The 13,250-nt window shown below is 46.1% G+C and overlaps 1 protein-coding gene across 4 annotated transcripts in view; it reads left to right on the forward strand.

The window, feature by feature from the left end:
- The window catches only part of OSBPL9 (oxysterol binding protein like 9), a 270,948-nt gene that overhangs the window by 66,405 nt on the left and 191,293 nt on the right, over positions 1-13,250 (forward strand). The gene's annotated exons all lie outside the window — the stretch shown is intronic.

Here is a 13,250-nt window from a genome sequence, read left to right on the forward strand (position 1 = left end):
TTGCACTCCAGCCTGGGCGATAAAAGCAAGACTCCGTCTCAAAATAAAATAAAATAAAATTAAATTAAAATTAAAAAATAAAGCCCTTGCACATCCTCTGGTTGCTGTGTTGCTCTGTAGTCTGGGAAAACAGCAGAAAGAAAGGACCCTGAATCAATCTCTGTTACAAATCCCTTAAATGCCCCTAGCATGTCATGTTCCCTTCTGGATCTCAGATTTCTCACCTGTAAATGGGGAAAAGGTGGGCATTTGGGGTTAGATGAGCTCTCAGGAGGCTTTCAGTTCTGCCATTCGAAGAATCTAAGATTTACCTTTCTGGAGGGTGCTAAGCACTACTTATAATGTGAGCTAGCCATGTGCAGTGGTGCACACCTATAGTCTCAGCTACTCAAGAGGCTGAGGTGGGAGGATCACTTCAGCCCAGGAGTTCGAGGCTGCCATAAGCTATCATCATGCCACTGCACTCCAAGCCTGGTGACAGAGTGAGGCCCCATCTCTTAAAAAAAAAAAAAAAGTCAGAAGGCCCTCAACTTATTGGACTTGTGGAAGGCAGTGGGGTGGGTAGCAGGAATAATGCAAGAAAAAAAAATTCAGACCTGATTCAAACCCTGCTTTACCACTCAGCAGCTATGTGACCTCAAATTAGTTGACTTCTCTGGGCTTCAGTTTTACCATCTGTAGATTAGGAAAATAATAATTACTTTGCAGAGCTGAGATGAGGATTGGAGTGTGTAAAGCATCATGCTTAGTGGCTAAGACTATGCTTAATAAAGGTTACTTAAGGCATCAGGTACAGGTTAGATATCAAAAATAAAGTTCAGCCAGGCGCAGTGGCTCATGCATGTAATCTCAGCATTTTGGGAGGCCGAGGAAGGCAGATCACAAGGTCAGGAGTTCGAGACCAGCCTGACCAACATGGTGAAACCCTGTCTCTACTAAAAATACAAAAATTGGCCCTGCGTGGTGGTGCGCACCTGTAATCCCAGCTACTCAGGAGGCTGAGGCAGGAGAATTGCTTGAACCCGGGAAGTGGAGGTTGCAGTGAGCTGAGATCGTGCCACTGCGCTCCAGCCTAGGCAACAGAGCGAGACTCCATCTCAAAAAATAAATAAATAAATAAAGTTCAAAAGCAGAAAATTTAACTCCAAGAACTGGAAAGAGCAAACAGTTCTCTTAATTTTTAATAGTTTTTTTTTTTTAATTAAAAGGGTAATGGCCAGGAGCGGTGACTCGCACTTGTAATCCCAGCACTTTGGGAGGCTGAGGCAGGTGAATCACTTGAGGTCAGGAGTTTAAGGCCAGCCTGGCCAACGTAGCAAAACCCAGTGTCTACTAATGATACAAAAATTAGCCGGGCATAGGTGGCGCACACCTGTAATCACAGCTACTCAGGAGGCTGAGGCATGAGAATCACTTAAACCCAGGAGGCAGAGGTTGCAGTGAGCCGAGATCGTGCCACTGCACTCCAGCCTGGGCAACAGAGTGAGACTGTGTCTCAAAAAAATAAATTAATAATAATAATAATAATAAATTAAAAGGGTAACACAAGTTCATTGTAGAAAATAATGAAAAAATTAAACTAATCTGAAATTCCATTATTTACCATTTTGGTACATTTTCTTCTATTCTTTTTTTATGCACAAATATATTTTACAGTGACTATATATATAATTTTGTAAATTTTTCAAGACATTAGGTCATAAACATTTCCCCATGACATTAAAAACTTCCCAAACATTCTATGGATATATCATACTTTACTAAATTGAGCCCTTACTGTTGGGCATTTAGGTTTGTCTCCAAATGTTTCCAATTACAAATAATGCTCACATGATTTATATGTTACATATGCATAAAGTATTGCTCACATTTCTGATTATTTCTTGAGAGGAAAAAGAAATCCTAGGAAGGGAATTACCTAGGAAAAGGATATGTACAATTTTAAGGCTTTGGCCAGAATTGCATACTGTGGCTTAGAAAGGCTATACTCACAATCCTACCAGCCAGGCCCCAGGTGCGGGTCACAATGGAAGCAGCAGAGGCTAATGTTTTGCCCCAGTCCACGAGGCTGAGGCCCCTTGGGGTGGCTGGTCCCAGGGCTGTGGTGGGAAGCTCTTACAGATTGCAGGTAAGGGACTACTGGTGGAATCTTCCATGCTGTCACTCATGTTATTGCTTTCTTGCCCTGATCAGTCACCACTCCAAGTCCCTCCCATCACTTACTGCAAACTGGCACCCTGGTCACAGTTTTCCTCTCTACTCAGGTCCATCATCATCCAGGTGATGTCGATAGGACAGCCCATCCTAGCCTCTCAGTTTCCTCATCTCTACTTCTACTCCAGGTTAGCCATTTGTCACTACATTCACACCCTAGGCCTTGTCATCAGCAGAAACTGCTTTGAAATTTCAAACTCCAAAGTGCCTCATGCCTGTAATCCCAGCACTTTGGGAGGCCGAGGTGGACAGATCAGTTGAGGTCAGGAGTTCGAGACTGGCCTGGCCAACATGAGAAACCCCATCTCTACTAAAAATACAAAAATTAGCTAGGCGTGGTGGCATGTGCCTGTGCTTCCAGCTCCTCAGGAGGCTGAGGTGGGAGAATTGTTTGAACACAGAAGGCGGAGGTTGCAGTGAGCTGAGATCGTGCCACTGCACTCCAGCCTGGGTGACAGAGCCAGACTCCGTCTCAAAATAAAAAAAAGAAGAAGAAGAAATCTGAAACTCGAACACCCATTTCCACCCACCTCCATGACCATGGCCTCCTATCCTCCAATTCTCACACTGTGTTACTTGAACTGCATCTGTTCTTTGACACTTCCCATCCCATTTCTTTTTAGTCACTTGGCTTCTTTCTGCCTAACTCTCACAGTCCTTCCTTCCTTCTTCCTTCAAACTTGTAACACTTCCTGTGTGCCAGGTACTTTACCAGGTACAGGGGTTGTAAAGTGAAAAGAGGTGGAGATCCATCAACTTGCTCGCTCTTCTCAACCCCCTTGCCTGTTTACCTTTCTGCAAAACCCCCACCTTGTGTCATCCAAACCTTGCATGTGCACTTTGTATTCTAAATTACTTACTTGCGCTCTTCTCTACTTCCCTCTCAGCCAGAATTCTCCAAAATGTAACCCAACCCTGCTGTATTCATTTCCTCAGCTCCCCTCTACCCTTCAACCTAAGGTAGTGAGGCTTCCGCCTCACCACTCCACTGAGTTGTCAAATGGTCTTCCTAACTGTCAAATGCAATGAATGCTTTCCAGATGTTCCCCTCCTTGGCTTCCCAACTGCTTTTGACATTAGCTGTACAACCTTGGGAAAATCACCCAACCTCTCTGAACCTGTTTCCTCATCACTGAAAGAGTGAATAATAGGATCTTCCTTATAGAACTGGTGAGAAATTCAGTAAAATTATGTATACAGAAAAAAATTCGGCCAAGCATGGTGGCTCATGCCTGTAATCCCAGCACTTTGGGAGGCCGAGGTGGGCAGGTCACCTGAGGTCAGGAGTTCGAGACCAGCCTGACCAACATGGAGAAACCCCATCTCTACTAAAAATACAAAATTAGCCAGGCATGGCGGCGCATGCCTGTAATCCCAGCTACTCGGGAGGCTGAGGCAGGAGAATTGCTTGAACCTCGGAGGCTGAAGTTGCAGTGAGCTGAGATCATGCCATTGCACTCCAGCCTGGGCAACAAGAGCAAAACTCTGTCTCAAAAAAATAATAATAACAACAATCTCAGCACATTGGGAAGCCAAAGCAGGAGAATTGCTTGAGCCCAGGAGTTCAAGACCAGTCTGGGCCACATAGCAAGACCCCTGTCTCTACTAAAAATTAAAAAATTAGCTGGGTGTGCACCTGTGATTTTAACTACTCAGGGGCTGAAGTGGGATGGTCACTTGAGCTCAGGAGGTGGAGGCTGCAGTGAGCCATGACAGCACCACTGCACTCCAGCCTGGGTGACAGAGTGAAATCCTGTCTCAAAAACAAAAGAAAAAAGAAAAAGACTCGCTGGTACACAATAAGCATTCAATAAGATAAAATTCAGACTCATTGAACTTGGTTTCCTGGGTCTCTGATAACCAGGAAGGGTTTGCCTTGGCTCATATGAGCATTTGGATCTCTGAAAAGGATAATTTCCCAGGGCAATTCATTCTTTGTCAACAAAAAATTATTGAGCACCTACTATGTGCCTGATCCAGGCACTTTTCTAGTTTCTGAAGCTATAGCAGTGAAGACAGCAGAGAAGCACTGTGCTCTCAGGAAGTGAATCTAACAGTGAGGAGAGAGAAAAACGGAGAGACAGAGAGAGATAGTAAGCATGCAAAGGCTTACATGGGAACTTTTTGGGGTGATGGAAGTGTTCTATATATTGATTGTGGCAGTGGTCACACAGGTGTATACATTTTTCTTTTTCTTTTCTTTTCTTTTTTTTTTTAAGACAGGGTCTCCCTCTGTCACCCAGGCTGGAGTGCAGTGGCACGATCTCAACTCACTGCAGCCTTGAACTCCCGGGCTCAAGTGATTCTCTCACTTCAGCCTCCCAAGTAGCTGGGACCACAGGTGCACGCCACCATGCACAGCTAATTTTTGTATTTTTTGTAGAAGCAGGGTTTTGCCATGTTGCCCAGGCTGATCTTGAACTGCTGAGATCAGGCGATCTGCCTGCCTCAGTTTCCCAAAATGCTGGGATTACAGGCGTGAGCCACCACGCCTGGCCTACATTTTTCAAAATTCAATGAATAATGCACATTAATTGAGTGCATTTTGTTACATGTACATTATATCTTAAAAAGTTCATTTTTTAAAATTAAGTTACATAGAGGGATAGAGTATAACCGTATACAGGGGAATAATATTTGATAGGGCAAACAAGAAAATCCCCTCTAAGAAGAAAACATTTAAGCAGAAACCTGAATGATGAGAAGGAGCAAACCATATGAATATCTAAGAGAAGAATATTCCAGGCAGAAATCACAGCAAGTGCAAAGGCCCTGAGATGGGGTTGAAGTCTGAGAAACAACAAGAAAGCCAATGTGGCTGGAACATAATGAACAAGCAGGAGATAAGAGAGGTAGGCAGGGGCCGGGCATGGTGGCTTATGCCTGTAATCCCAGCACTTTGGGAGGCCGAAGCAGGTGGATCGCGAGGTCAGGCATTCAAGACCAGCCTGGCCAACATAGTGAAACCCCATCTCTACTAAAAATAAAAATAATTAGCTGGGCGTGGTGGCAGGTGCCTGTAATCCCACCTACTTGGGAGGCTGAGGCAGGAGAATTGCTTGAACCTGGGAGGCGGAGGTTGCAGTGAGCTGAGGTTGCGCCCCTGCACTCCAGCCCAGGGAACAGTGTGAGACTCCGTCTCAAAAAAAAAAAAAAAAAAAAAGAGAGAGGTAGGCAGGGACTAGATCATGGAAGCTCTTGTGGGTCATGGTAAGAAGATTGGGTTTTATTTTAAACCTAATAGGCAGTGGAGGTTTTTAAAGTTCCAGAATGATACAATCTGATTTACATTTCAAAAAAGTCATTCTGAAATTTATATGAGAAAAGACAAAGGGAAAGCAGAAACAGAAGCAGAGGCCATTCAAATTACTGCAGTAGTCCACCTGAGAGATGATAGTGGCTTGGGCTAGGTCGGTAGCAATACAGGAGGTAAAAAAAAAAATCACGTGGCCGGGCGCGGTGGCTCAAGCCTGTAATCCCAGCACTTTGGGAGGCCAAGGCGGGTGGATCACGAGGTCAGGAGATCGAGACCATCCTGGCTAACACGGTGAAACCCCGTCTCTACTAAATATACAAAAAATTAGCCGGGCGTAGTGGCGGGCACCTGTATTCCCAGCTACTCGGGAGGCTGAGGCAGGAGAATGGCGTGAACCCAGGGGGCGGAGCTTGCATTGAGCCGAGATCGCGCCATTGCACTCCAGCCTGGGCGACAGAGTGAGACTCCGTCTCAAAAAAAAAAAAAAAAGAAAAAAAAGAAAAAAAAAGTCACGTTTAGGATTATGTTTTGAAGGTACACTCAATTAAACTTGCTGATGGATTAAATAAAGAAGATGAGGGAAATAAAAGAATCAAAGATGATTCTTAATTTTTTTTTTCCGAGACAGGGTCTCTCTTTGTTGCCCAGGCTGAAGTGCAGTGGCACGATCATAGGTCACTATAACCTCAAACTTCTGGGTTCACACAATCCTCTTGTCTCAGCCTCCCAGGTAGCTGGGACTACAGGCACATGCCACCATGCCTGGCTAATTTTTTTTTTTTTTTTTTTTGAGACGGAGTCTCGCTCTGTCGCCCAGGCTGGAGTGCAGTGGCGCGATCTCTGCTCACTGCAAGTTCTGCCTCCCAGGTTCACACCATTCTCCTGCCTCAGCCTCCCGAGTAGCTGGGAATACAGGCGCCTGCCACCAAGCCCAGCTAATTTTTTGTATTTTTAGTAGAGATGGGGTTTCACCATGTTAGCCAGGATGATCTCAATCTCCTGACCTCGTGATCTGCCCACCTCGGCCTCCCAAAGTGCTGGGATTACAGGCGTGAGCCACCGTGCCGGGCCCATGCCTGGCTAATTTTTTAATTAATTAATTTTTAATAGAGACGAGGTCTCACTATGTTGCTCAGGCTGGTCTCAAACCCCTGGCTTCAGGCAATCCTGCCACTTCAGCCTCCCAAAACACTAGGATTACAGGCGTGAGCCACCACCCCTGCCCACTCTTTAATTTTTGACCTAAACAACCAGATGAATGGTTAAGCCATTTACTAAGATAGAGAACACCGGGGGAAATAGAATAAGTCTGGAGGAGCACATAAAAGTTTTGTCTTAGACATGTGAAGTCTAAGATGCTTGATAAATATTGGTATCTTGCCGGGCACAGTGGCTCACGCCTGTAATCCCAACTCTTTGGGAAGCCAAGGCGGGCAGATCACTTGAGATCAGGAGTTCAAAAGCAGCGTGGCCAACATGGTGAAACCCCATCTCTACCAAATTAAGTGAGGTGGTGCACACCTGTAATCCCAGCTACTCGGGAGCTGAGGCAGAAGAATTGCTTGAATCCTGGAGGTGGAGGTTGCAGTGAGCTGAGATCATGCCACTGCACTCCAGCCTGGGCAACAGAGCAAGACTGAAAGAAAGAGACAGAGAGAGAGAGAAAAAAAAGAGAAATATTGGTATCTCGCTAATATATATGCCTCTTATGAGTTTGGATAGAACAAGTCAGTGCCTAAACCTTCCCAGTTCTGAGTACCCTAACACTGGACTTCTCGGTCCTCTAAGCTGAGGATAAGCCTCAGAACCCTGGACCCCCGTAGCCAACCCTCCTCAATCAGTGAGCAGAATCAGCCCTTCTGCACATCTCTCTGACCTTTCTTCACTCAACATAATAATTGCATTTTGGGTTGATTTCTTCAAAGTAGGCACCTGACCTCAACGATTACTTGTTGCTAAGGCTTTTTTTTTTTTTTTTTTTTTTTTGAGACGGAGTCTCGCTCTGTCGCCCAGGCTGGAGTGCAGTGGCGCAATCTCGGCTCACTGCAAGCTCCGCCTCACAGGTTCAAGCGATTCTCCTGCCCCAGCCTCCCGAGTAGCTGGGACTACAGGCGCCCGCCACCACACCCGGCTAATTTTTTGTATTTTTTAGTAGAGACAGGGTTTCACCGTGTTAGCCAGGATGGTCTCGATCTCCGGACCTCGTGATCTGCCCATCTCGGCCTCCCAAAGTGCTGGGATTACAGGCGTGAGCCACTGTGCCCGGCCGTTGCTAAGTCTTAATGTAGGAAGATTTCTTGTAATAACAATTCTCTTCTTGGGGTGTTACTTTTTGGTGTATGTGTCAAGATTCAGTCCAATAATTCAGCCATCCAATAATTGTTTACTGGGCTGGAAACAAAAGAAAATAAGGTAAATAGACAGTCATTGTGTGAGCAGGGCTGACACACAAGAAGCACAGGGGCTAAGAGAACTAGGGGAAGCCTAGGCAAGTCTTCCTGGAAGAGGTGAGGTCGTGCAGACCAAACCTTCCTGGACATAGTGCTGGATTGTGTTCCTGATTTTGGCTTCATCAACTGCCTGGGGCTTGAAGCCTCTCTTTTCCTGATTCCAGAGCATTTCCTAAATATTTATTGATAATACCCTTGGGCATTTGAGCATTTACTCCCCCATTGGACAAGTGGAGTTCAGTCCTTGAGGGAATGATGGCAGGTCTGTGCATGTTCTCCCTGCCTTCTACTGGGAGGGATTATGGTGTGAGTAAAAGCCAGCTGGGGCAGGGAAATGGGCCCTCAAGCTAGCAGTCACAAGATTAGCCTCAAAGGGCTCATTACAAAGGATGGCTGAAATCCATCAGGAAGTAGGGGACCTTGAACCTATCCTTGGAAAAGGATTGTGCTTTGTTACAGTGAAGCTGAGGGGCTTTTTGCATCCCACTTTTCAGCCAACTCCTGAACATTTTTCCTGTCTGCCCCCTCCCCTGTATTCCTATCACTACTACTCTGGTACAGCCTCTCTACTTTTCACCATGAAGAGGGGGAAAATGAGAGAGAGAGGGAGAGAGAAATAAATGGAAATAAATAAATAGTGGGGAAAAAAGATTACAATAGCCTCCTGGATGGTTTTTCTGTCTCCAAACTCAACTTCAGTCAGCCTCACAATCCAGGTCCACTTACTTTCTGAAGCACTCTTTCTAATACCCAGGTCAGATCTTATTTCTCCCCACTTATCACCTTCACTAGTTTCCCACTGCCTTCAGCAAAAGGTCAGGCTCCCTAACCCCCTTGGTATATGCCCCACCTGCTCTCCAGCCTCACCCTAACTCCCCTCCCCTTCACACTTTCCTGTTCCCTGAAGATGCCACTGCTGGCTGTATCATTGTACATGCTGTTCTTCTTACCTGGAATACCCTTCTCCCCTTCTCTGCCCATCTGATAAACTGACTTATCCTTCGAAACATTGCTTAAGTTTCGCCTTCTCCCTGAAGCTTTCCTGTCCAGGCCTTTTGCCTGGGCTTATTCCCACCTTCCTCTGTAGCACCTCTATACCTTGCTACCCTCAAAACAGTATTACTTGTATCACCAGTATCTGTACCATTGAACATTTGTCTTTAGGTAAGTAAGATTGGGAATTTGAGTCTCAGAAATGGGAAAAGGCTTATCCAGGGATCCATGGTGGAATGTGGACTCAAATCCAAAACATCCCAGTTCCCCAGCAAGTGCCCTATCTACTGCACCCTCAAATAATTAATCAGATTTCACACACACACACACACACACACACACACACACACACACGAAGAGCATCATTTGTTAGTGGGCTGAAACAGTACTATTGAACATTTGTCCTTAGGTAAGTAAGCCCTTCCATAATTCTCTGAAGTTCATGAGGCATTCTAGGGAAGAGACTGGACAAGATGACCCCCAAGATCCTCTGAACTCTGATATTTTATGAAACACAGAAAATTTGGCTAGGCGCAGTGGCTCACGCCTGTAACCCCAGCACTTTGGGAGGCCGAGGTGTGTGGATCACCTGAGGTCAGGAGTTCGAGACAAACCTGACCAACATGGTGAAACCCTGTCTCTACTAAAAATAAAAAATAAATAAATAAATAAATAGCCGGGCGTGGTGGCGGGCACCAGCTACTCAAGAGGCTGAGGCAGGATAATCACTTGAACCTGGGAGGCAGAGGTTGCAGTGAGCCGAGATCATGCCATTGCACTCCAGCCTAGGTGACGGAGTGAGACTCCATCTCAAAAAAAATAAAAAAGAAAGAAACAGAAAAGAAAAAAGAAAAAAAAGAAACAGAAAATTTCACAATCACAATCAATGACCCCCTTTTTCCTCCAGGGTTCACCCATTTGTGTTTTTGAGATGAAGGAGAAGGAACAAACGTTTACTGCATGCCAACTGTGTGCTCCAACTATATGCTAGGGACAATGCTTTACTCACCTTACCTAATTTAACACTCTGAACAATCTTGCAAGATCCGTATTGTCCTCATTTAATAGAGAAAGAAATTGAAATGCAGACTTAGTAAGCTACCTGCCCAGTGTCACACAGCTAGGAGGTAGCGAGTAGGGATTTCAGCTGTAGTCTTTCTCTCTCTAAACGGGCTCCAAACCGGGAAAGTCGGCCTGCCTGACCGCTGGGACAGGTGACAGGCAAGGGCGTGGAGTCTGTTCTATAGTCGCTGCCTGCCAGGCACCGAACTGCTTACCCCCGTCTTTGAACTCCTCGCGCAGGTAGACCCAGCGCTGGGCGCACGTTCCCAGGGTGCAGGTCACCAGCAGCAGTGGCAGCAGCTGCAGCCCCTTCATCCTGCGGAACCTCGAGTCCCAGCCTTGGAACATTGCTACCCTCGCCAGGAGTTCGGCCCCACTGCTGCCACTTCTACCTTGACCCAGGGGCGGGGGCTGAGATCACCTGCATCCCCACACCTGGCTGCCCTCCATTCGAGGCCTGGGGGTAGTGAGAATAATGAGGACAAATCCCAGGGCACCACCGCTGAGAGCGCCGGAGGACTGAGGAGCTAATGGGGGCCAACCAGGTGTTAAGGGAGCGGCAGGGGAGGGTCTCTAGGAGTTAGGGAGTGGAATGGGCAGCTGAGGCTTGCCTCTGGGGTGCTCGACTTTGTGGAGCTGGTTGAAGTCGCTCTCACTTGATTCCGTTCGTCATCTCTCTGTCCCTCCATCCTCCCTTCCCTCTATCCTTCTATCCTTCCATCCATCCATCCTTCCATTCATCCATCCATCCACTGGGCCTATGAAGAAACCACGATGATATCTGTTTATTTTAACAGAAATGCAGGGCCTGAGGGGGCCCAGAAGAGGCTTTGATCCAGCATGGGGTCTCAGGGAAGGCTTCCTGAAGAAAGTGACAACTGAGGCTAACCAGGGAGGAAGAAATGGGGGAGGGAGGAGGAGGAGCAGAGAGAAGACCATGGGCAAAGGCCAGAGAAGCGAAAGACTTGTAAATTCATGTCATTTCTACAACAACTCCATACTGTACAATCAATGTTATTTACCCTATTGTGAGGAAAATGAGGCTCAAAGAGGGAAAAAAGCACCAGCATTTGTTGATTATTGTATTATGTGCTAAGCACTGCACCAGGCTCTTAAGAGGCGTATCATTTAATCCTCACACTAGTGTGAGGAGGGTGTTATCATGCTCGCCTTACAGATGAACAAACTGAGATTCTAAGAGACAAAGTAGCTTCCCAAGGTCACACAGAGATGGAATAGGGGCTAGAAACCAGGCCTTCTCATTCCAGTGCCTTCACTACACTTTCGTTTAACTTCATTCATCTATTCAATATCTATTTATCAGGCCAGGCATGGTGCCTCACGCCTGTAACTCCAGCACTTTGGGAGGCCGAAGTGGGTGGATCACCTGAGGCCAGGAGTTTGAGATCAGCCTGGCCAACATGGTGAAACCCCATCTCTACTAAGAAATACAAAAATTAGCCGGGCATGGTGGCGGGCGACTATAATCCCAGCTACTTGGGGAGGCTGAAGCAGGAGAATTTCTTGAGCCTGGGAGGTAAATGTTGCAGTAAGCCAAGATTCTGCTACTGCACTCCAGTCTGGGCAACAGAGTGAGACGCTGTCTCAAAAAAAAAAAAAAAAAAAAAGGCCAGGCACAGTGGCTCATGCCTGTAATCCCAGCACTTTGGGAAGCTGAGGTGAATGGATCACCACCTGAAGAGTACAACACCAGCCTGACCAACATGGTGAAACCCCGTCTCTACTAAAAATACAAAATTAGCCAGGTGTGGTGGATCACACCTGTAATACTAGCTACTTGAGAGGCTGAGGCAGGAGAATCACTTGAACCCAGGAGGTGGAGGTTGCAGCGAGCCGAGAGCACGCCACTGCACTCCAGCCTAGGCGAGAAGAGTGAAACTCTTGTCGCAAAAAAAAAAAAAAAAAAAGACCAGCCTGACCAACATGGTGAAACCCCATCCCTACTAAAAATACAAAAATTAGCCAGGCATGGTGGCATGTGCCTGTAATCCCAGCTATTCAGGAGGCTGAGGCAGGAGAATTGCTTGAACCCGGGAGGCGGAGGTTGCAGTGAGCTGAGATCGTGCCACTGCACTCCATCCTGGGTGACAGAGCGAGACTCCATCTCAAAAAAGAAAAAAAAAATCCAATATCTATTTATTAAGGTCCTCCTATATGCCAGGCACTGGGCTAGGACTGAAGATACAGTGGAGAACAAGACTGGCAAGTCTCCTGCTCCCATGGAGCTACCTTTCCAGTAGGGGACACAGAGTCTCATAAAGGAAGCAATAAAACAAGGCAATGACTTAGAGAGAGATGGAGAAAGCTTTCATGCTGGGAGAGGAAAGGGGGTCAGGGAGGTCCTCCTTGAGGTGACACTTTGGTTGCCATGTATTCATCTGGGGCAAGTGTTCCAAGAAGAGGCAACAAGTGCAAAGGCTCTGAGAAGGAGGATGAGTTTGTCACATTTGAGCATCAGAAAGAAAGCCAATGTGGCTTAAGCACAGTGAGGAAGGAGGTGAGGCTGGAGAAAGGATGGAGTCAAGACTTCTCATGATATAAGCCATGGGTAGGATTTATAACTGGTGTAGTGGGAAGCCTTTAAAGGGAGTGACATAATCAGAATTATATTTTTAAAAGGTCACTTTAGCTGCTGTGTGCTAAGTTGGGATGTCGGTGTATAATCAATCGGGATGTCAAGTACACAGTTAAAATATATTAACCTGCATCAATCAGAGTCCTATGGAATATATGTGTGTATATATATATATATGTGTGTGTGTGTGTGTGTGTGTGTGTGTGTGTGTGTATATACACACACACACAAAGGATAGATTGTATATATATATATACACACACACATATATATATACACACAATATAATCCCACAGAAGAGGTCTTGGCTACAAATATAAATTTGGAGGTATATAAGTGGTATTTTAAGCCACATAGCTAGATGAGATCTTTAAGAGAGAGGAGCAATTGGCCAAGAACCATGCATGCCAAGTACCCAGAACTGACGAAGAGAACCCGAGCCCTGAGAGTTGGGCAGAGAAAATGGAAGCAGCAAGGAAAACAATGACTGGCTCTAAAAATAAGAGCCTCCTTTAGAATTCTAGGTTGTTTGCCCATTGGCAGGGTGGTCTTCTCTTAAAGGGAGTGTCAAAATTGCAATTCAACTAATATTTACTAATCACCTACTATGTGCAGGGTGCTATGCCAAGTTCTGAGGAAACAAAAACAGATAGGACCCAATCCTTGCTCTCCAGGAATT

This window comes from Homo sapiens, chromosome 1 (genome assembly GCF_000001405.40).
Source record: "Homo sapiens chromosome 1, GRCh38.p14 Primary Assembly".
NCBI lineage: Eukaryota > Metazoa > Chordata > Mammalia > Primates > Hominidae > Homo > Homo sapiens.